The sequence below is a fragment of the Homo sapiens genome, chromosome 2 (genome assembly GCF_000001405.40).
Source record: "Homo sapiens chromosome 2, GRCh38.p14 Primary Assembly".
NCBI classification, from domain to species: Eukaryota; Metazoa; Chordata; class Mammalia; order Primates; family Hominidae; genus Homo; species Homo sapiens.
Window position 1 is genome coordinate 179,156,158 of NC_000002.12, and position 24,054 is coordinate 179,180,211.

The 24,054-nt window shown below is 35.8% G+C and overlaps 1 protein-coding gene across 6 annotated transcripts in view, besides 4 other annotated features; it reads right to left on the reverse strand.

The window, feature by feature from the left end:
* Nucleotides 1-24,054, reverse strand: part of SESTD1 (SEC14 and spectrin domain containing 1) — a 163,155-nt gene that overhangs the window by 54,480 nt on the left and 84,621 nt on the right. For 5 of the 6 annotated variants that reach the window (XR_007084411.1, NM_178123.5, XM_047446274.1 and 2 more), the window contains 2 exons: nucleotides 20,291-20,381; nucleotides 15,963-16,076 (listed from right to left, as the gene is read on the reverse strand). Coding sequence is in view for 4 of the 6 variants with exons in the window: in NM_178123.5 (NP_835224.3) it covers nucleotides 15,963-16,076; nucleotides 20,291-20,381 (205 nt within the window). In the remaining 2 variants the exon portion in view is untranslated. Of the gene's footprint in view, nucleotides 1-15,962; nucleotides 16,077-18,195; nucleotides 18,302-20,290; nucleotides 20,382-24,054 lie in introns of all 6 variants that reach the window. The other variant, XM_047446275.1, reaches the window with a different exon arrangement.
* Nucleotides 1,095-1,264: an enhancer, noted in NCBI's record as "experimental_56718 CRE fragment used in MPRA reporter constructs". NCBI's record gives its function as "activates a minimal promoter by MPRAs in K562 erythroleukemia cells, with activity observed for both the introgressed and non-introgressed 2:180022064 variant alleles {active_cell/tissue: K562}" and the evidence as "EXISTENCE:reporter gene assay evidence [ECO:0000049][PMID:34662402]".
* Nucleotides 8,886-9,055: an enhancer, noted in NCBI's record as "experimental_56719 CRE fragment used in MPRA reporter constructs". NCBI's record gives its function as "activates a minimal promoter by MPRAs in K562 erythroleukemia cells, with activity observed for both the introgressed and non-introgressed 2:180029855 variant alleles {active_cell/tissue: K562}" and the evidence as "EXISTENCE:reporter gene assay evidence [ECO:0000049][PMID:34662402]".
* Nucleotides 9,517-9,686: an enhancer, noted in NCBI's record as "experimental_56720 CRE fragment used in MPRA reporter constructs". NCBI's record gives its function as "activates a minimal promoter by MPRAs in K562 erythroleukemia cells, with activity observed for both the introgressed and non-introgressed 2:180030486 variant alleles {active_cell/tissue: K562}" and the evidence as "EXISTENCE:reporter gene assay evidence [ECO:0000049][PMID:34662402]".
* Nucleotides 19,158-19,327: an enhancer, noted in NCBI's record as "experimental_56724 CRE fragment used in MPRA reporter constructs". NCBI's record gives its function as "activates a minimal promoter by MPRAs in K562 erythroleukemia cells, with activity observed for both the introgressed and non-introgressed 2:180040127 variant alleles {active_cell/tissue: K562}" and the evidence as "EXISTENCE:reporter gene assay evidence [ECO:0000049][PMID:34662402]".

Consider the following 24,054-nt stretch of genomic DNA (forward strand, 5'->3'; position numbering starts at 1 on the left):
ATATGTATATGTGTGTGTATATATACACATATATATATCACATATATACATCACAGTTTCTTTATCCACTCATTGATTGATGGGGACTTGGGTTGGCTCTATGATTTTGCAATTGTGAATTGTGCTGCTATAAACACGCATGTTCAAGTATCTTTTTCGTATAATGACTTCTTTTCTTCTGGGTAGATACCCAGTAGTGGGACTGCTGGATCAAATGGTAGTTCTACTTTTAGTTCTTTGAGGTATCTCCACACTGTTTTCCATAGTGGCTGTACTAGTTTACATTCCCACCAGCAGTACGGAAGTGTTCCCTGATCACGGCATTCACGCCAACATCTGTTTTTTGATTATAGCCATTCTTGCAGGAGTTAAGGTGGTATCACATTGTGGTACTGATTTGCATTTCCCTAATCATTAGTGATGTTGAGCATTTTTTCATATGTTTGTTGGCCATTTGTATATCTTCTTTTGAGAATTGTCTATTCATGTCCTTAGCCTACTTTTTGATGGGATTGTTTGCTTTTTTTCTTGCTGATTTGAGTTCATTGTAGATTCTGCATATTGTCCTTTATCAGATGTATAGATTGTGAAGATTTTCTCCCCCTCTGTAGGTTGTCTGTTTACTCTGCTGACTGTTCATTTTGCCATACAAAAGCTCTTTAATTTCATTAGGTCCCAGCTATTTATCTTTGTTTTTATTGCATTTGCTTTTGGATTCTTGGTCATGAAATCTTTGCCTAAGCCAATGTCTAAAAGGGTTTTTCCAATGTTATCTTTTAGAATTTTTATAGTTTCAGGTCTTAGATTTAAGTCCTTAATCCATCTTGAGTTGATTTTTGTACAAGGTGAGAGATGATGATCCAGTTTCATTCTCCTACATGTGGCTAGCCAATTATCCCAGCACCATTTGTTGAAAAGGGTGTCCTTTCCCCACTTTATGTTTTTGTTTGCTACCCCTTTTACATTAGCTGCAAAAAAATAAAATACTTAGGGATATACCAAACCAAGGAGGCAAAAGACCTCTACAAGACAAACTACAAAACACTGCTGAAAGAAATCACAGATGACACAAACAAATGGAAACACATCCCATACTCATGGATGAGTAGAATCAATATTGTGAAAATGCCCATACTGCCAAAAGCAATCTACAAATTCAACACAATCCCCACCAAAATACCATCATTCTTCACAGAATTAGAAAACACAATTCTAAAATTCATATGGAACCAAAAAAGAGCCCGTATAGCCAAACCAAGACTAAGCAAAAAGAACAAATCTGGAGGCATCACACTACCTGATTTCAAACTATACTATAAGGCCATAATAACAGTGTCATTGTTTCTTTGTTTTCATATTTAGAATCATAGGATGATTTATTTCATATTTAAAATCGTAAGATGATAAATCACAGGATGAGTTATTTCTGGGTTCTCTATTCTGTTCCATTGGTCTATGTGACTATTTTTATACCATACCAGCACAGAACCCAGAAATAAATCCAAACACTTACAGACAGATGTCCCTTATATTAAACTTAATTTTTAATAATGTGTTATTGATTCACTTAACAATCATTATTTAGTGGAGCTAAATTTATTTATTAGAAGACGTGTATTTTAGTGTTGGGAATATGAGGATGAATAAGATATGCTTCTGGCAAAGAAATTATCTTTTCATTTGTTTCTTTGCAATATTTCTCTGCAATATTCCAGAGACAGTTGTGTAATGCACAAGATGTAGAATAAAATTTTCTGCTTTGTTCTAAGGCCTTTGTTGAAAATACCCTAAATGTCATGGCTGCTTTTGTCATAACAGCATAGAGGGCCAAAGGCTTTACTAGAATACCCCAAATGATTTCCAAACCCTTTTACTAGGGAAAAAACACCATTATTTTACAACTGAAAACATACAAAACTAGCAGCCATTCATTCCAGGTCTGTGCCCTAGTTCTGCCACAAATTCACTAAATTTGTAGAAGACAATCTAAAGGAATTCACCACTCCAAGCTTATTCCCCAATCTTTTGAAGAAGCCACCTTCATTAAATTATCTATGATGTTTCTTTAAGCTCTAAAAGGACATAATTCTAATGAGTTGTTATCTGATACATTTAATTTGGGCCATTCTCTCTCTTATATTACCTATCTTGTCCAATGAAGAGCTCTCGTCACTTTTCTATCCACACTGGTTAGCCTTACCATATGTATTCCTTTCTACTTTTATAGTTCCTAAATGCACCAAAATCATTGATAAACATGTTTCAAGTTTAATGAGCCACACGGAAATTTTCCAGTTAACAGTTACATACAACGGAAGTTTATTTCCATGTGAATAATTCTCTTAAAAGCTCTTTTTCCTAAAATTAACTTAAATGTAAACAGTACAGATTCACCTTCTTTTATGACATAACACATATTTAAGAGCATATTATCCTTTAATCAAAATAATTTTTTTAAAAAAATTGACCAAGATTACTGCTATTATGTTTTTACCTATGCAAAATAGTTTTAAATAAGGGAAGGACACAATTATGGAGAGCTACAGAAAACTCATTTTCTCCATTATTATAAAACATTTTATACAATCCATATTCTTATAAAATTCACTGGTGGCTATTAAAAGTTAAAACAGTAGCCCTGCCATGTAGACATACAGAATTGTATCAACACCAAAGGTATCTCAAAGTTAAATAACGTATGTGGGGGAAAAGCAACAGTTTACACAATCGGCAGACTCACAATCACAATAATTTCCAATTGACAACTTACAGAACTATCTACTGTGATGAAACATCTCAGTTTCCACTGCAATAATCTCATTTTTGTTTAAGAGGGTGAAGGTGAGGAGAAAGGGCAGAGTAGGCTGGCTAAAGAGCAATAAATGTTTCCATTTTACTAGAAACATTCTTTTAGAAAAAGAATGAAGGGAAAAGACATTTAAGAGTGTGCAATAGTAGGAAACATCTTATTCTATGCATACGCTTTTCGCCTAACAATCACCTTTATAAAGTGGGTCAGGATCAGCATGTGTAAGAGGAAAGAGAATCCCTCCTTCCAGTGCACTGCAAAAATACACTCTGTTTACAAAGGTGAAAAACTGTCCACCTGCTTTTGGAAAATTACACCACTTACTAGGATACAACATATAAATAACAGACAACTGCTTCCCAGAGGACAAACCAAGTTTGAATAAACAGACAATTCAACTCCACTCCAATGATGGCAAACATCACAGAAGGGTGTGATTTCACTGCTGTGAATTTGCTCGTGAAGACCAAATTCAAATGTGCAAGCAAAAGTAAGAAACCATTTGCAGGGCGGGATTTAGGCCTGAAGTAGAACTGGAATGCTGAAAAAGGAAAACTGTGTAGAGATTTCTAGATGTTTGAAAAGCAAAAACTCGAAGAAAACAGAGAAAACTGACACATTTCAGGGTAATGCAACAAAACAAGATTAGGAATCCCAGACTAGGTGATTTTCTATAAATTGTTTCATTACAGCTTTTTAAATTACAAAATACTGGTAGGGCTTCCTATATTCCTTTCTGTTACAGCCCTTGAAGAGACCACTAATTTCCATAGATAGCAAACCTATATGAAAGTTTAAATATAAAGCAATGCAAATCAAAGGATCAGTTTTATCTTATTGGAAATGTTCTATGACCCGGCAAAGAAGAAAAAAACAAAGAAAGAAACATAATGAAAAAAAATTTTTTTTGAGAGTTTTGCTCTTGTCACCCAGACTGGAGTGCAATAGCACGATCTCAGCTCACTGCAACCTCCAACTCCCAGGTTCAAGCAATTCTCCTGCCTCAGCCTCCCGAGCAGCTGGGATTACAGGTGCCCACCATCACGCCCAACTAGTTTTTCTATTTTTTTAGTAAAGATGAGGTTTCACCATTTTGGCCAGGCTGGTCTTGAACTCCTGACTTCAGGTCATCCACCTGCCTCAGCCTCCCCAAGTGCTGGGATTACAGGCATGAGCCACTGTGCCCAGCCCATAATCAAATTTTTTAAAGTCCATCCTCAGAGAGCAATTATCAACTAAAAGTAAGAACAAAATTAGAAAAGATTCCCCCTCAAAATCATATTGAGATCACATGTATTACGTATAATTCATTTTCATCCTATGATTCTAAATATGAAAACGAAGAAACAATGACACAATTGCTGAAAATTCTAAAGAAATATTTTCCAAAGCTACAAAAAAAGCTTTGAAAATCTTCAGTGAAGTGATTAATGAGTAAGAAATAACACCGTGAATTAGAGCACAAATATTTAAAAGTACAAAATGGCACAAATATATATAATTATATTAGATTATATTAATTTAAAAATTATATGGTTCTTTATTTTCTGCAAAACCTTCTTTTAAATATTTATTGACATTGTCACCTGTTCTAATTAAGTGACCAATTGATAGAAACATCATATTCTAACCTAAAGATAAACCTTCTTTAAAAATCAAACAATCCATTGCCTGTGAAGAAGATGGAACCACAAACTCAACATTTTCATTTCTCAGAAAATATTTAAAAGAGTAAATTTTCTAAAAGTATCCAGCATTTCTTTAGACTAGCCTATTGTGACTCTCTAAATCACTATTTCCCAGTTATGAAAATCTCATACACTCTCCATATCATTCTACTTTTTTTTTGCAGAACATAATGAAGTAGTATATATAATAAGCTCATTTTAATTTTTTTAAAAAAGGATTTACTTATTAGTACTACAAAATACTAAATTAAAGCAAACTTCATAATAACACACCTTAAACAATTATTTTTTTTTAGAGACAGGGTCTCTCTCTGGCACCCAGGCTGAAGGGCCACTGCACCTTGACTCTTCAGCTCAAGTGATCCTCCCTTCTCAGCCTTCCTAGTAACTAGGAATACAGGTATGCACCACCATACCTAGCTTTTTTTTTTTTTTTTTTTAATTTTTTGTAGAGGAGGGTTCTCATTATGTTGCCCAGGCTGGTTCCAAACTCCTGGGCTCAAGTAATCCTGCCATCTCAGCCTCCCAAAGTGTTGGGATTACAGGTGTGGGCCATTGCTCCTGGCCTTAAATAACATATTATACCAAGATAAAAATGTAAGACCAATTTGTATTTTTCCCACCTAACAAATGACATTAAGGCTCTTCAGTTAATTTAGAAACAGTTATGTAAAATACAATGATTCATCACAAATCATTTATAAAGTTACCTTTCATGTTGAATTTTAAGATTACACATACATCACATTCAAAATGGTATTATGTTGGGAGGCCAAGGCGAGTGGATCACGAGGTCAAGAGATCCAGACCATCCTGGCCAACATGGTGAAACCCTGTCTCTACTAAAAATGCAAAAATGTGCTGGGCGTGGTGGCACATGCCTGCAGTCCCAGCTACTCAGGAGGCTGAGGCAAGGAGAATCGCTTGAACCCGGGAGGTGGAGGTTGCAGGGAGCCGAGATCACGCCACTGCATTCCAGCCTGGCAACACAGTGAGACTCCGTCTCAAAAAAAAAAAAAAAGGTATTATGCCATCAAAAATACAGCGGAAAAGCTATTTTCATGACCTGATATTTGAAATTTTAACTTTTATACTTTTAAAAAACCTAGCTGGCTTGTTTTTGTAATTTTCATATTTCTTTTTAAGCAACTATATATGAGAAAAAGTTTGCAGTCCTGGACTGGTAGATAACTCTTTGAATGTGTAAAGTCTTTTATTCTCCAAAAATGAAGAACCAAATTTGATTTCATCACACTGCATACTATGTTTTTTACCATTATTTTTAGAGTACTAAAGACATCTTGATATGCTACATAACAATTTTATGAAACGAGTACAATTTACACACTTAGTAATAATTGTCTTGAGGCAAATTTATAGGATTATCATCCTTATTCTCCTTAAGTTGTCATGTATCAATTATCAGTGACTCTTATGGTTTGTTATTCACCAGTGGTTTATTTGAAATTGTTTAATAGAGAAAGTCACCAAACTGATTATGATTTCCAGCTGAGTGATAAATCTGAGCAACTGACAAATCTCCCAAACTAGTCAACTAATATCTGAAAGTTTTCCAATTAATATATTTTAAGTAAAAAAAAAAACCATATTTTTTAAAAGATAGTATTAAAAATATGATTCCTTCATTAAGGATATAAATCCTCTGGAACAATTTACAAAATCATGTAGGAAAATGCTAAATAATGTTGCTCTTGGCTTGGAATACAAAGTTTAAAGAGAGACTGATACTTACTTTGATACTAAAATATCAAACTTCAAGAAACAGCTTATATTATCTTGCAGTGATCAATGCAGTATGTCACTGATATCCAAAATCAAGTTTTACAAAATATCCTCCTATTAAAAAATAAAATTCATCTATAAGAAAAACTACCTAAATCTCAGAAACAGGCAGACATTATTACTGAGTGTTCTTTCATGCAGTGGTGGGTTTGTATCTTTGATTGACTCTCTATAGACTGATCAGTAGGTATTAAGCTCTGTAGGAGTAGAAGTTAACTTGTAGATTCTGTTTAGAACAAAGGCAAATAGGCTGGGCACGGTGGCTCATGTCTGTAATCCTAGCACTTTGGGAGGCCGAGGCAGGTGGATCACAAGGTAGGAGTTCGAGATCAGCCTGGCCAACATGGTGAAACCTCGTCTCTAGTAAAAAAAAAAAAAAAAAAATTAGCTGGGCGTGGTGGTGCATGCCTGTAATCTCAGCTACTCAGGAGGCTGAGGCAGGAGAATCGCTTGAACCTGGGAGGCGGAGGTTGCAGTGAGCCAAGATTGCGCCACTGCACTACAGCCTGGGCAACAGAGCAAGACTCCGTCTCAAAAAAAAAAAAAAAGAATAAAGGCAAATAATTGTTGTCTAACGAGATTGATATATTTCCGTCCAGTGGAATAAGAGACAACCTCAAAGTTTATAACTTATGGATCTATAGAACAATAATTAGTTTTGTATCTAATTTGGTTGGCAATCTTTTCCTATAAAAACCTGCAATTCCTCAAATGCTCTTTGAACCACAGCTTACAAATTACTAGTAACCTCATTTATCAATGAATTGAATAATGTATTTGACTTATGCTCATTTTATATTTGCATTAGAGTCATGATTTCACCTTTAGGAAAACGACACTTTAACATATGCTTTATCAATTTAAGAATGTGGAGTGGATGAAATTCTGACTTTCATCAACTATTTTCAAATAGCCATCTCCATGAACATTCTAATATTTATGCGTACCATTAAATTTATGAAGAAAAACATTACTAGTTGCGTTCAAAGTAGCTATCATTTTACTAAGCAGAAATCTAAATCTCAAATCTATCCTCACATTACCAAAGAAATCTGAAATCTAATAATCAGCATAAAGGGAACAAGAATAAAAATATGTATATTATATATATATATAAAAGAAGGAAAAAAAAAAGATCACTACCCTGCACAAGCATTTCAAACTTTTGCTAAGTCCTTTCAAAGGCAATACAAAACATAAAGTTTTAAAAATAAAGCCCTACATAAATATTACTTTTCCCCTTCATTTTATACATGCTAGAGAAGTTAAGACAAGACAAATTAAATGACTAAACCACAATATTGTATTAACTAGCACATATCATGGTTCAACAAGTTTGAAGAGAAAGGTATTTACCATATGGTCTTTAATAAAACATTTGTGCAGGTTTTCTTTAATCTCAAATTTTAACTTGCAGAAAGATTAAAAACTTGTTTCTCTTTTACTCTCATTATTCCTTCTGTAACTATAATACTTATCCTTTCCTAGTAAAACATTCCCCAAAAACCTACCACTGAAACTTGCATTTTGTAGGCACTGAGATGGTTTATTATTATTTCACTATTGCTAAGAATGTGCGTGCAAGATCCAGAATGAAAATCTGCCTTTGTATGTATTTCTGCACTTAGTAAAGATTCATGTGTGTATATATGTTCATACACATACTATTTTGATGTGTATGTCTGCTTGTACCTGTTTGTTGAAGAATATTTTTCTCACTCAAGGAAAATAGGTTTCTATAAAAACTGGAAAGAATCAGAATAAATGGAGCCAGGGGTGTTCTTGAAAGAAGAGCATCATGGAAGTCTTTGGTCCTGGATCCTACAATTATGTATAGTCTCAAAAAAGAACATGATTAGATCCAGTATTAACAGGTAAGAGAATAAAGCAATTTAGAATGGGTGCTGGTTAACATTAAATAAACAACACTTTAATGAGTGACAAAAAAGGAGAGTGGAGATCCCTTTGATAATTAATCTCTCCATTTGAGGACAAGATTAATGCTAGTATGACCTCAATTTTATCTTGTCATTAGACAGAATATAGACACTATCATCAAACCAGCAAAACCTATCATAGTCACCAGGTACAATGCTGCTGAAGGATACGAAGTACTTGAATATAATATCTGAGTTGCTAAAAAGGAAAATGAACAGGTAGGTATCTATGTCAGAGATAGGAAGGATATACAGAGAAATATTAAGGTTAGCAATGAGAGATGAATATTCAATTCCTGATGAAAAACATTGGAGGAGTGAATAGTAAGGAGGTTACCTAGAAGAAAAAATTTAGAAAGTATCATGGGCAAGAAAACAAGAAATCATGTGGGAACAAGGTGTCACCAAAATGACCACTGGGTGTATACTTGATGAGCATTGTGGACAGCTGGTAATAAATCTTTGTTGCAGATAATTTAATTTTAAGGTAAAACATACATTTATGCTTACAGGATCACCACTACTCTTAACGAAGTTTTTAAAATATTTTTTTAAATATTTACAAACACAGGCTTAATTACAACAGCCTAAATTATCCAAAATAATACCAAGAAAAATAATTTGCAATTAAACGAGCATCTATGTTGGATTTAATTATATAGAGCTCTAAGTCTCATTTAATGGATAGTGTTGAACTGCCCCCTTAAAGCCGGGTTTGCCTGGCAGCGTATTAACCAGCATTTGAAATTACTCTCAACTCATTAGGAAATTGGGCTTTTAATAAGTGCCTAGCGCTTTCTTGAGAAAATATCCTAGCTGAATCTCTTCAATGTCTAAGAAAACATATTGATATAAGAAGTTTTAATGCTTCTGTTTTAAAACAACAATCTATGACACCACATCAAGGTAGACAGAAATTCTGTCTTCTATTTTATCCTCCAAGATGCAGGGTATTTAATCACTATTAATTTCTATAACATAAGACCCAACTACCAGAGCATCTCTGAGCAGATGCCTATTTAGTTTAAGCAGGATGTGACAGGTGCCTCATAAAAGGGATCTTCCGTGGTACCGGGTGTTCACAGCTTTAGTTTCGGCTATTTACCCCTGGTTCACTTTGCATTGTCTCAGAGCAACATTCCCTGCATGCCCCAGGCCATGAACTGCAGACCTTACTAGCTGGCTGAAGTCTTCACTCACCATGCTCCTGACTCTTGAAGCAACATTCAGACCTCCTGGCTTCAGCTTTTACTTTCTTCCCTCACTATGCTTTTGTCTCTTTTTGTTGGGGCATAGTTTTCCAATCAACTACCAGGGCAACACCCTTCCTAATGTGATCCAGCAGCCTTGGTCATCTTCCCTTACATTACTGGCACACATCCTTCCACAAAGTCTACATAATAGTCAAGTCTACCAATGACAAAAGTTGAAGAGAAAAGTGGGAAAAAATTCTGGCATCTACTTAGGATGTAGAAAGTTGGAAAGAGCATGGCTCCAACTCTTACATAACAATGACCAAAAAAAATGCAAGTTAATCTGAAAAACCACAACTTTTCTGAAGCCACTGGAGAGCTAAATTCACAAGGAAACCAATTAACCTGGAATCTAAGGAAAGATCTGCATCTTCAAGAAGATGGAACTGGAGTACTTGCTTACCTGGGAAAAATGCCAGACCTGATGCCAGCCAGGTAGGAATTTAGGTTAAAATTTTTAATGAATCACTAAGGCCAAATGTGGGCTAGTGTGAAAGTACAGAACCCATGGGAAGTATAGACACAAGAATTCATACTCACTTGGAGGCTGAATCTCTAGAGGAAAGATCTCTGCAGGAGTCATGAGAAAGACTGGAAATAAGAGGAATAAGAGATTTGAAAAAGCCTCTCTTGGAGCACAAGCCTGGGTGAGGGGAAGAGCAGCCACTAATGGAAAGGCATGAAGCACAGCCCAAAATCTTCAATGCTATCTCTCCTATGAAAAAAAAAATCTTAGAGTGCTGCGGAAAGGACTGAAAATCCTGCTGACCTTAGAGGACAACTGAAGTCCCACCACAGGTGGAAGAAGGGAAAAGAAAAGACTATCACAGGGGAGGGAGTAGACCCAGGAATATATTATAAACCCGAACTATCATAGGTTCCCAAAACTGGGGGAGGGGCAACATTACCCACTAGGCTGAGGGACACAGAGCCTGCCTAAGATTGAGGCTGAATAAGAACAACAGAGAATGCCTCTCTAACAAATACTGAATAACAAGGAACAGCAGCCTATTGCTGAGAGTCAACTGTATACAGAAAGACTTTCTCTGAGGCGCAGGTACAAAGGAAAGACCTAGAGCAGAGGGTAGAACAAATAATGAAAAAGCAAAATTCTCTGGCAAACCAGCCCCCATCTTCAACACAAAGTAACTCTAGAGAAATGAGAAGCCTGTGGTGCACTGAGGAAAATAATAGCAACAACAAAATCCAAAGCCAACTCAATTCCTGGTTAGAACTCAACCCTTCTCTTATGCTATCAAAAGCCTAGGAAAAGGGCAAGATGAGCCCATGTGCAGGCACAAATACTACCTACACCTCAGTCTTTACTGTCCTAAACAAGATGTCTAACATTCAATAAAAAATAACAAGGCACACACAAAAAAGGAAGGAAAATGACCCACTGTCAAGAAACAAAGCAAACAACATAAGTGGAGTAAGACAGATGCAGATATAGGGACTATCAGATAGGAAATTTAAGATACTGATGCTATAGAGAATGAAAAATAACATGCAAGGACAGACGAGGAATTTCAGCAAAGAGATAGAAACTCTAAAGAAAAGTCAAATAGAAATGCTACAAATCAAAAGCATGGTAATTTTCAATGGTCTCATCAACAAACTTAACACAACCAAGGAAACAAAGAGTGAACTTGAAAATGGATCAAGAGAAAATACCTAAACTGAAACACAAAGAGAAAGACACAGGGATAAAAATAAAACAGGAGACCAAAGAAAATGGTGAGAAAATTTCAAATATTTTATCATACATCCAAATGGAGTTCCAGAGGAAACAGAAAAAGGGCAGATAAAATATTTGAAAAGAGAATGTATAAGCATTTTCCAAAATTGATGACAGACATCAAACCAGGTATCTAAGAAGTACAGAGAACACTAAGTGGAATAAATACCAAATAGAACACACAGAGATACAGCAAAATAAAACTGCTAAAAACCAAAATCAAAATGAAAAATCTTGAAAGTGCCTGAAGGGGGAAAAAAAGGCAAATAACATACACAGAGGACCAAAGATATAAATAACAGCGGCCTTCTTGTCAGTGACCATTACAATGAGAAGGCAAAGGCAATGAGACAGCACTTTTAATTTTATTTAATTTTTACTTTTTTTTCTTTTTTGAGGCAGGGTCTCACTCTGTTGCCCAGGCTGGAGTGCAGTGGCATGATCTCGGCTCACTGCAACCTGGGCCTCCTGGGTTCAAGCAATTCTCCTGTCTCAGCCTCCCGAGTAGCTGGGACTACAGGCACATGCCACCATGCCCGGCTAATTTATGTATTTTTAGTAGACACGGGGTTTCACCATATTGGTCAGACCAGTCTCAAACTCCTGACCCTCAGGTGATCCACTGCCTTGGCCTCCCAAAGTGCTGGGATTTCAAGAGCCACCGCACCCGGTGAGAAAGCACTTCTAAATACAGTTGACCCTTGAACAACTCAGGACTGAATTGCACAGGTCCACTTATAAGGGAGTTTTCTTCTGCCTCTGCTACCCCTGAGACAGTAAGACCAACCCCTCCACTTCCTCTTCCTCCTCAGCCTCAAGACAATGAGAATGGAGACCTTTATGATGATCCACTTCTACTTAATAAATAGTAAATATATTTTCTCTTCCTTATTATTTTCTTAACATTTTTTCTCTAGCTTATTTTATTGTAAGAATACAATGTATAATACATATACAAAATTTGTGTTAATTGACTGTTTATGTAATTAGTAAGGCTTTTGGTCAATAGTAGGCTATTAGCATTTAAGTTCTTAGAAAGTCAAAAGTAAGTTAGACACAAATTTTCAACTGCACAGGAGGTTGCTGGCCCTAACCCCTGCATTGTTCACAGGTCAACGGCATGATTAAAGTGCTGAAAGACAAAAAAAAAAACTTGAAAATAATTTTCAAAACTAAAATAGACATACAGATTTTCTTTAGGCAAACAAAAAATGAGACAATTCAATGCCAACACACCTGCACTGCAAGATACATTAAAAGAAGTACTTTAGGCAGAAGGAATGTAACACCAGACAAAAAGATGAATCTCCAAAAAGAAACGAAGAATGCCAGAAATGGCATAAATGAAAGTAAATATGAAATTAATTTAAAATTTTTAATTGCTGTAAAAGAAAACAGATTATCTGTAGCAAAAAAATGCAGCAATGTAGTGTTTGTTTATAGCACAGTAAAAGTGAAATGCATAACAATAATGGGATGGAAGTATTGGAGATATACTGTTTTAAGGTCCTTCTATTTCATGTGAAGTGGTATAATTGAAGGTTAGACTGATTATTAAAGACGTATACAGTAAACAGTAAGGTAACCATTAAAATAATTAAGAGACATAAATTACAAGCCAATAACGGAGTGAGGTGTAATTATAAAAAATACTTAGTCCAAAGGCAAAAAAGAACAAAAAACCCCATAAAATCTAGCAAGATGGTAGATTTTATAAACTATATCAATAATTGCATTAAATATAAATAGTCTTACCCATGAAAAGACAGAGATTGTTAAACTGGATATGAAAGCAAGATCCAACTATATGGTGTCTACAAAAAATTCATTTTAAATATAAAGAAGTTAAAAGTAAAAGAATGGAAAAGATACAACACACTAACACTAATCAACAGAATGCTGGAGTAGTTATATTAATATCAGACAATGTACATTTCAGAGCCAGATATAGTATCAGGAATAAAAACATTCAAAAATGATAAATTGGGCCCTACTCACCAAGAAGACATAGCTATCCTAAATCTTTATGCAATAAACAATAGAGCTTCAGAACACATGAAGCAAAAACTGACAGAAATAAAATAGAAATAGTTCCACATATAACAGTTGGAGGTTGCAATATTCCTCTTTCAGTTATTAAAAAAACAGGCAGACACAACATTACCATGGATAGAGAAGACCTGAAAAACATTAAGAATCATCTTGACAGTTACAGAACACTCCATCCAACAACAGAATACTTATTCTGGGAATCACCAAGATAGAACACATAGTGTGTCACAAACCAAACCTTAAACTTAAAATGACTGAAGTCAGCCGGGCACGGTGCCTCATGCCTGTAATCCCAGCACTTTGGGAGGCCGAGGTGGGCAGATCACCTGAGGTTTGAGACCAGCATGACTAACGTAGAGAAACCCCGTCTCTACTAAAAATGCAAAATTAGCTGGGTGTGGTGGTGCATGCCTGTAATCTCAGCTACGTGGGAGGCTCAGGCAGGAGAATCTCTTGAACCTGGGAGGCGGAGGTTGCAGTGAGCCGAGGTTGCACCACTGCACTCCAGCCTGGGTAACAAAAGCGAAACTCCATCTCAAAAAAAAAAAAAAAAACCTGAAGTCATAAAATACATATTCTTGACCATAGCTCACAAACATTAACTCAAAATAGATCACAGATCTAAATTTAATGACTAAAACTATACAACTTTTAGAAGAAAATATCAAGGACAATCTTTGTGACCTTGAGTAAGGCAAAGATTTCTCAGATTATGACAACAAAAGTCTGATTAATAAAAGAAAACTGTTTCTCCACCTGTGAAATCAGAAAGCAAAAAAAAAAAAAACTGAAAAAGAGGACTTCATCATAGTTAAAAAAATTTCTTGAAAACTGTTAAGAGAATGACAAGGCAAACAATAGACTAGGAGGTAATATTTGTAAATTATGTGTCTCATAAATGACTTCTATACAAAATACATAAAAAACTCTCAAAATCCAGTAACAAAAAAGACCTTATTTTTTTTAAAAAATAGGTAAGAGATTTAAACTGATACCATCTGTGATACTGTGATATAAGAAATATGCATTTGCTCTTTGTCCCCGGTTCCTGGCACAGAACTCCTGAAACCCTTGTAATTCCTAGGTGACAGGAGCATCCTTTATTACAGTATTTGGTCTCAGTCCCCAGTTATCGACACAAGAGTTACAAGATCCTTGGCATTTCTGGAGTGATAAGTGTTTTTTTGGATGTTAGTAAGATGAGTGGTGGCTGTGGGCCTCTAAACAGATTCAAGATGAAGGCTTGTCACCAAAAAGACCAAGGCATAATTAGAGAGTTGAAACTTTCATGGCCACTCCTCTCCCTCCAGGGAAGGGAGAGAGGCTGGAGACTGAGTTAGTTAATCACTAATGGCCAATGATTTGGAGAGTTTCTGGGTTGATAAACATGTACACAGGCCATGAGGGTGGTGCACCCCAACTCCCTAGGGTTCGAAGCTCCTGCGCTCTGGATCATTCTAGACCTTGCACTTTGTGTATCACTTCATCTGGGTTGTTCATCTATATTCTTTATATAAAGCCAGTAAATGTTAGTAAAGTGATTCCCTGAATTCTATGAATCAATATACCAAATTACTAAACCTGAGAAGGGGCTTGTGAGTACAGAAACAGTTTTCCTACCACCAGTCAGGGGCTAGAAATGGAGAAGTTAACTATAGGAGCATATAGGGGAATTCTGGGGGTGAGGAGACACTTCCTGATTTCTTGATTGTGGTTTTATATGTTTTGTCAGAACTCTCAGAACTACACACTAAAATGAATTAATTTCACTGCACGTAAATTATAGCTTAATTTTTTTAAGTAAAGAATAAAACCATGTATTTTTAAGAAATTTCAAGCCATCTCCTTTAAGAATAAACTAAGTTTTCTCAAATCTTTCTATCCAATATACATTAACAACCTTTTCTCCATACCAAAAATACACTGATATTGACCTCGGTAAAAATAAAAATGAGTGTATAGCATGGCAAGTTCCAAAATGAATCTTTATTATCTGACTGTAAGCATTCCAAGGGCCTATATTATACCAGGTTGGAGTTAGTCTTTGTATTCTTCAAAGTTCCCACACTTTATTTAGACAATGTAAAGTCTGTTATTTATCAACTCTCCTACTGGGAAGTTGAGAATTAACAGGTGTGGAAGAAAGAATATGACAAACTGCTTAGATTTACATTCCATCATAGTGCTTTTTTCTAACCTACAGTAAGATGCACTATCACACAAGGAAAGTAAAAGAGAGAAATAAAAAGTCAGTAGGAAAGAATGGATAACTGTGTTCATGTATTAAAACTGGCCAGATACTAAAAAATAATTATGACATGTCACAAAAAATAGACTATAATTTCAACTCCAAAATGTCCAGGATTTCCTAGTATTTGTTAAATTTCCTCTCCATAATGCAATAAAAAAATTTAAATACAAAGGTTCTACTTATTCAAAGAAGTTAACAAAGAATGATACAATTGAAAATGGAAAACAAGAAAGCTTTCATGATCTTTAACAAAATATCATACTTCATTCAGCAAGTATCCAAATGCTGACCATATACTAATTATTACTTAGGCACTAATTAAGCATTCCTTAAGCACTGCTTAGTAACCAATGCTGAACGGTCAAAAATAATTTCAGTAAAATACTATTTTTAAAGATATAATGGACTTTAAAAAAAGAGATTACATTTACCTCAAAGCCAAGTCTATCCTTCTCCTTCCAAAAACAAAAATGCGTTACTTTCTTATCCCAGAATTCATCTGGCTTTACCACACAAACAAGGGACACCTCAGCTGGAACAACATTCTATAAAATACAGAAAAATAATTACAAATTACACATGTAAAATGAATAATTTACTAAATTTATAAATTACCAGACAGTCAAGATTATGCTACATAAGAGATTTTTGGAGAAGAATTAAAATAATAAAGAAGAAATTCTCTAGACTTCAAAACATACATGGCAATAAAGAAGAACTTGAAAGACAAGGTGATTCAGAAAATACTTCAAATAAAAAATGCAGCATAAATTGTACATGTGAATTACTTTTTGTTTTACTGAATCTCTGTACTAGGAATATGTTTAGCTTAAACTGTAAGAGTTAATTTTTAGTTGGGAAATTATTAAATTTGATTTTTCTACAGTATGAAAAATTTTTTCTAACACAATCATCTTGGAGAATTTCTTCAAAAGACGTAAAATCAATTTTCTCACTAAAATAAGTTTTTTATCAGTCATTATACAATGAGACCAAGATTTTACATGATTATTAACTTGAAGAAGAGGACAAAAAGCTAATCTTTGACGAATACAATTTCACATTTACTTGATATGGTTACTTATACTACCTAATGAACTGAAATGAACATTTATGGAATTAATAAATATTTCACATATATTTTATCAAGTCCTATAGAGTCTAACTTTAAAATGCATCTTAAATCCAACAAGTTCTACCGCCTGCATTGTTAACAACGCCAAACTATCCAGCTTTCTGAAATATCATCATTACAAGGCTCCTTGCTTGACTTTCTCTTGCACTCTGAATGAAATTCAAATCTCTTACCAAGACCTACAAGGCCCTTCAAGCTCAGGCCCCTGTTGGCCTCTCAGATCTCATCTTACACCTTCCCCTGCTAGCTCACTCCTCCACAACAGCTCGCTGCTCCTGCAATATGAAAAGTCTGTTCCACTTCAGGTCTTTGTCCATGCTATTTCCTCTATCTGGAATGCCCTTTGCCTTATACCTAGGAGTGCTCCCTCAGTTTATTTAAGATTCTATTCAAATATTCCCTCTTCAGAGAGGCCTTCCCTGTCTACCCTACCTAAAGTGGCATCATCTGACTCAGTCTCTTTCACTGCTGTATTTTTCTTCATAGCATTTATCACCATGGGCTGTTACGTTTGCTTAACTGCTTATTGTCTAACTCTTCAAGTAGAATATAAAATAATAAAGATAATAAAACCTTCCCAATGGCAGGTACCTTATCTATCTTGTCACCCCTATATTTCCAGTGTTTATGACAAATATCTCACATATATAATAGAACACATGCTATAAATATTTGTTAAATAAATGAATCCTCATTACTAAGTAGATCTCATTCTCTTAATTTTACAGGAGAGTAATTTGAGCTTCAGAGAAACAAAGTCACTTGTCTAAGATAACAGAGTTAAAAAGTCATTGAGCTGAATAGAAACCACCTCTGTCTGACTCTAAAGTTCTACTACACTACTTCGTATGCTCTGAACCTGGGTTCAATACATTCTTTCCGAAAGGTCCAGATAATAAGTTATTCCAAGCTTTGCAGGCCATAATGTCTCTATTGCTACCACTCGGTTCTGTCAGGATAGTATAAAAGCAGCCACACACCACACAATATATAAATGAATGGGAATGGCTGAACTCCAATAAAACTTTATAAATTCAAGGGCCCAACCTCTGTTCTAGACCATAAATTGCAGCACTGAATAATTATAATAATAATTACTATTATTACTATTCAGGGAAAAATGGAAAACCTTTGGAGGTAAACATGCACACATCATAAATCTAGCATCCTCTGCAACAACTGGATTGTGACTAAGGTAAGTAAAATAAATTCAATGATATCAAAACTTTTACCAGAGGGGCTGGAAAATTTAAGATAAAATTGAGCTTTATTCATATATTGCCTTGTGGAAGATTATTATTTCAAAATCATTGAATATGAAAGCTGTGAGAAAGAAGAGAAACCACACCCCTCATTTTAGAGAATACCAGTTATAGGCACTGTGGGGTCCCAAACAGCTGGTCCCAGTACCTTCGGAGATGAAAGCAATGAATGACTTCATATGTAGAAACTGTTTGACTAGAAGTAAAAAGGCCATTGCAACTTCTGAAAATGTTAACTATTAATAAATCCAAAAGCTGTTAAAATACCTATCAGAAAAGAAATCGCAAGAGGGGATTAAATCATCCATTGATTGTTCTTCAAAACTGCCACTGATCAAAGTCCAGTTCAAACAGCAAGTCCCAAACAGCTCATCTGTGACACAGTTGAAATGACAGGATGAAAGGAAGAACACAAGGTCATAATTAATGGATTTCTTACCTAATAGTTATTTTAACAACTTTCACAGAGAAGAGTTAATTCTCAAGGCTTGAAATATAAAAGTGCTGGAAGCACTTTTTTTTCAAAGAAAAAGTTATTTTAGGACACCAATTTGTGCTCCCTTAAACTGATCCTGCGGAGGCTATGTCCTTTCTAACCCAAAGAGTGATTCTAGCCTGTAATCTCAGCGATTTGGGAGGCTGAAGCAGAAGGATCACCTGAGCTCAGGAGTTTGAGACCAGCTGGAGCAATATAGTCTCTACAAAATAAAAAAAGTAGCCAGGTGTGGTGGCGCTCGCCTCCAGTCCCAACTACTCAGGTGGCTGAGGCAGGAGGACTGCCTGAGCCCAGGAGCTGGAGGCTTCAGTAAGCCATGCAACTGCACTCCAGGCTGAGTGACAAAGTGAGTCCCTGATATAAAAAAAAAAAAAAAAAGGTGGGATGGGGGGATTCTCATGATGAAAAGTTTAAGCCAAACATTTAAGAAGAATGAGGCAATGGGTAGAAAATTCAGAGACCACCTCAGCAGACACATGCCACTGGTAAATACACATTTTAAAATGGATAAAGTCAAGGCCTGGGGCTTACTTAGACTATACTAAGTTCCAATTTTAAGTTATTTAAAATCCTTGAGCCTCGTTGACCTCTGTAAGGTTGTGAGGCCAAAATTAAATGAGATAAATTTATATAGCAAGCTTAGCACAGTACCAAAAACATAATAAGCACTAAAACTAGAACTAAAACCTAAAATTACCACTTTGTTCCTATCCCTTGAATCCCTTTCTCCCAATTAACCTAAATAAATGATAAAACGTTAAAAACCATTCTCCTTAATTATCATTTAAATTTTAAAATTATATGCCTTTCCACAGAACCCTAAAGTAGCTACCTTATTTGTTGAATTCATTTAAAATTCTTGATCTTTCTTTCAATATCACTGATATCCACTTAAGTGAATTCTTATGATTCCATGTTACTACCAACTTATGTTTCCCCTAGACTGGCCTGCCATCAACTACTCTCATTGTATTTGCTTCATTATGAGCTATATGTAAGTCAGAGTACCTGTGAGGAAGGCCCTCTTGACTTTCATTTAAATTGGATAATTAAAATTTTACCTCTCTAGAAGCCCTTCTACAGAAGGCCAAGTGCATGAGAGCAATCTGCCCTCCGCATCACTCAAATGTTTTCCTTTTCCTTTTCAAATCATATCTTCAATACCCTTAAAATAAATCAACAAATGTCTACTGGGTGCCTACTACATGCCAGGGGATCACATAAACATTCTGTGTGGAACATGAGGAAACATAAAACACAAGACTGGCATCAGATCTCAAAAAGTTTGTAATCGTAGATGTTTATTAAATGTTAATTTGTGAGGGGCTGAAATTCCTGAGGACACAGCTGGTAAGTTTCTTCTGGGCTACAAATAAATAAGATCATCGTGAATCCTGATGCTTTATGTAGGAAATAGGGGACCAGAAGAGAAAGACATGCCAGAATCACCTGAGAAGTTTCTTCAAACTACACTTAACCAATCCTACCACCCACCTATAGTTTCAGAATGGGGTGCAAGAGGGAGAATGATACAGACACCAGAGCATGCAAGAGCTCCCAGGTGAGTCTCATCATTTCAATGCTCACACATTTAAAATCACTGGCCTCCTTTCTTAAATTACTTAAACATGACATATTATTTTCATTTACAAACCTATTAGAATAGAGGTGAGATATACTTAACTGCTTAAATTCAAACCTAAGGAGTTGAATTTGAACAATCCAATAGTGATAAGTGCATTTTCACAACTCAGTCACTGCTAGGAAGCCAGGCACAGTCCAATAAATTAAATGCATTTGCCATTTTCACCAGGATCTGTTGCTGTAAAATAAAAACCATTTCCTGATAGACAAAACCAAAATTACCTGTAGCATTACGACTACTGTTTTCACCACATTCCACTGTGATTTTCTGCCATCCACAATCACGGTAAATCCTCTAGCCTTACACTTCTCACTGAAACAAAATAAAATTACAAAGCATTAAAACAAGCTCCAGATTTCGTTCTTCATAATTCTAAATAAAGAAGGTTTAAAACTTAATCGCATATGGAGTAGAATTAATCTCACTTGGTTTAGTTTACATTGTCAATAAATAAAATTCTTGAGAGTATCCTTTCATTTTCTCAAGCAATTTATTTTTCTCATTTTAGGAAATGTTCACAATTTACAAACTAATGTGGCAAGAAAATTATTCTAAAAGCATAAAAGTCAATGTCTTAAAAAGTAAAGACATCAAAGCAACATTCAAACAGTCCTACTAGTCTCTCAATTTCTTCGTCTGTAAAATGGGATCACAGTGAAGTAAGTTACTAATTGCCAAATGTGTTATATATTTCTTGTCTCACCTACCTGCCAGAAGTATAAGATTTGTGAAGTCATAGTTCAAAACAGATAGAAAATAAAGTAAGTTATTAATAAACCACAATAATGGGCTTCTTAGCGTTCCTTTGGAGAAATTTAATGAGATGAGGTAGAACTTGCTGATTCAAAAGCTTGGACAGACCATGTCTAACCCACTTATGCTCTCACTTTTGCATTGTCAGTCACAGGACCAGCAAAATATTATCTTCAGTGTTGGATTCCTGTATTACATTGAGTGATTTAACTATTAACTAAACACTTCCCAGAAGTCTAACCTAGTAAAACGCAACAACTTCTGGAGGGAAAAACTCCATTCTAAAGGCCAAAACTACATACCTATCATTATCATTGTTATTATTATTGTGTTTACTTATCAACTTAATGTAAGGATCTCAATTGCTCTCCTTCCAATACAGTAAATGGAACTACAGCTTTGCTTATCAGAGCAAGATTTTGGTAGTGAAACCTGTCCCCATCCAAACTGTTCCCAGTTACATACATTATAGGGAAAAATAAACAGACCTTTTCCTGGGATTTAAATCCACCACCAGTTCAGGGGACTTTACTAGTCCTCCTCTTCTCCCTCCAAGCATGCACGCTAGTTCCAAGAAGGCTCTTGGAGAAGTCATGCCCTGTTCTACCAAGAAACACTAAGACCACAAGAAATGAGGATGATATTGCTAAAAGTTTAGAGTGGGAGGGAACAGCCAAGCACTGAAGCTGAGCTTCCAAAGTAAACAAAAGAGTATTCAAGAGGTAAGGCAAACTGATGCATATGTTCACACAAAAACCTGCATGTAAATATTCACAGCAGAATAATTCATAATAGCTGAAGAGTAGAAACAATCCAAATGTCCACCAACTAATGAAGAGGAAAACAAAACACAGTATAACCAAACAATGAGACATTATTCAGCCATAAAAAAAGAATGAAGTACTGACAGTTGCTAAAACATGGCTAAACCTTGAAAACATTATGCTAAGTAAAACACGCCAGACACAAAAGGACACACACTGAATGATTCCATTTATATGAAATGTCCAGAATAGGCAAATCTAGAGACAGAAAGCAGATTAGTGGTTGACAAGGGTTAGGAGGGAAGAATGGAGAGTGAGTGCCAATGGGAACACAGTTTATTTTGGGCTGATAAAAATGTTCTGAAATTAGATAGCATAATGGATGCACAACCTGTGAATATACTAAAAATCACCGAATTGTCTACTTTAAAAAGACGATTTTTGTGACATGTGAATTATATCTCAATAAAACAAAAGTACTCTATTTTTGGATGCGCATCACAAGATAAAGGATCCACTAAATATTCCTTGGGAAAAACTAAAGGTAAGGCCAATACAGTGATCACTTGTGGGTTAGCAAAAGAAAATAAAAGACTTGCAGAGGGGGCTAGGCGTGGTGCCTCATGTCTCTAATCCCAGCACTTTGGGAGACTAGAGCAAGAGGATGGCTTGAGCCAAGGAGTTTGAGGCCAGCATGGGAGACCAGCAAGACTCCATCTCTATTTAAAAAAAAATAAAAGACTTGGGGAGAGAAACAAACCTGACACACAATGACTATCTGTGGGCTCAAGTAATGAGGGGACTCCTGGAGTTCTCCACCAACAAAACATCTAAGAAGACCACCATGACATAGGAGAGGATACAAGCCCAAGAGTGATCAGCTAGGCAGGGTAGCTGGCTGTTGAGCGGTCTGGAGTAGTGGCAACAATGCAGGGATTCTACCAATGCCTTTTTCAGGAAGGAGAGCTAAGACACAGCAGTCCAGGAGAGGGCCTTCCCACCAACAGAAATGTGCCATGTGCCATTCTCATAATGTGATACTTTCTCAACACTGGCATCTGTATCCCTGAGATGCAGGTTACACAACCGTTTTGTTAAATACATTTTATACAAGCAATACATTTATATTTCAAAGCACACTATAAATTAATCTGTACATTAAGACTAAGAAAGTAATGAAGCTTGCAAATACCATCTGTAGTGATCTTAAAGGAATAAAATACTCTAAATTTATCTTTCAGAGTACTTAGAAACACGCTTAACTCTGTCACATTCTCACATTTTACTAAGATGGATAATGAAAATACACAGAATCCAAAGATAACTATTTCAAAATTGCCAGACCAAGTGGTCTTTCAGGTACTTGAAAGGAAATAGTTTTGTTTTTTGCTTCATCCCTGTAAGTGGAATGATGGCTTAAACTGCTTTTAACAACATATTTAATTTAGAAGCATGTTATACCCTTTATAAAGGGCCTGTTGTAGGACCTGAAGTGTCATTAATAACAAATTCCTATAGCCACTGTTAGCATGTTTATAACTATACTTTAAGAACAGTAATAGAAAAAAAAATCTAAGACCCAGCCTCCTAGTTCCTAGTCCAGTTGAGCCTTTCAAGGGTGACATAGCTGAGTTAAAACAGCTATGTAAACGTGAAACTGTCTAAACAGTCCACTCACTTTTGACACAGAAGACAATGTTAGTGGATTTCCTGGGGCCAACATCCTGCAGATCTTCACTCATTTCTTTGATTACAACTAAAGGCTCCTTCTCTTCCACTCATACAGCTCTGCTGGTACTTACATAATGGCACTAATTTCACTTATGCTTTTATTATAATTACTTGTTTACAATTCATCTTCATTAGATAATATGCTTCCAGAAAGCAAGAATGTTATCTTACAAATGTCCTGGCAGCTTCTAGCACCATGCTTTAAATATGGAGTGCCTTTAATAATGTTAGATGACACACATCACATCACTCCTCAGACACGACAATAGCTTTCCATCTCATTCAGAATGGAAGCCATTGCCTACATGGTCTTCCATGACCTGACTCCTGACTCTCTTCTGATCCCCCTCCCAGCACTGTGCTCCTCTCTCAAACTGTTCCAGCCACACTAGCCTCCTTGATGTTCCCAGAACATGTTAAACCTGCTCCTGCCTCAGGGCCTTTGCACTTCCTGCTCACTCTGTCTTCAATGCTCGTTGATCAGATTCTGTAGGGTCTGCCTCTCCTTTCAATCATCTCTGGTAAAATATCTTCTTATTTTGTAAAGTATCACCACTCTATCACTCTGACTCTTTTCATGCTTTGTTTTCATAGCACTCATGAATATCCAAAATACTGTACACTTAGTATCTGAAACACAAAACAAACTTAGGGCCAACCTGTGTAGAAAAGAGTCAAGAAATGCTTCCATTCTCAACTGTGCTAGGTTACCCACTTAAAATAGCTATGTATCACAC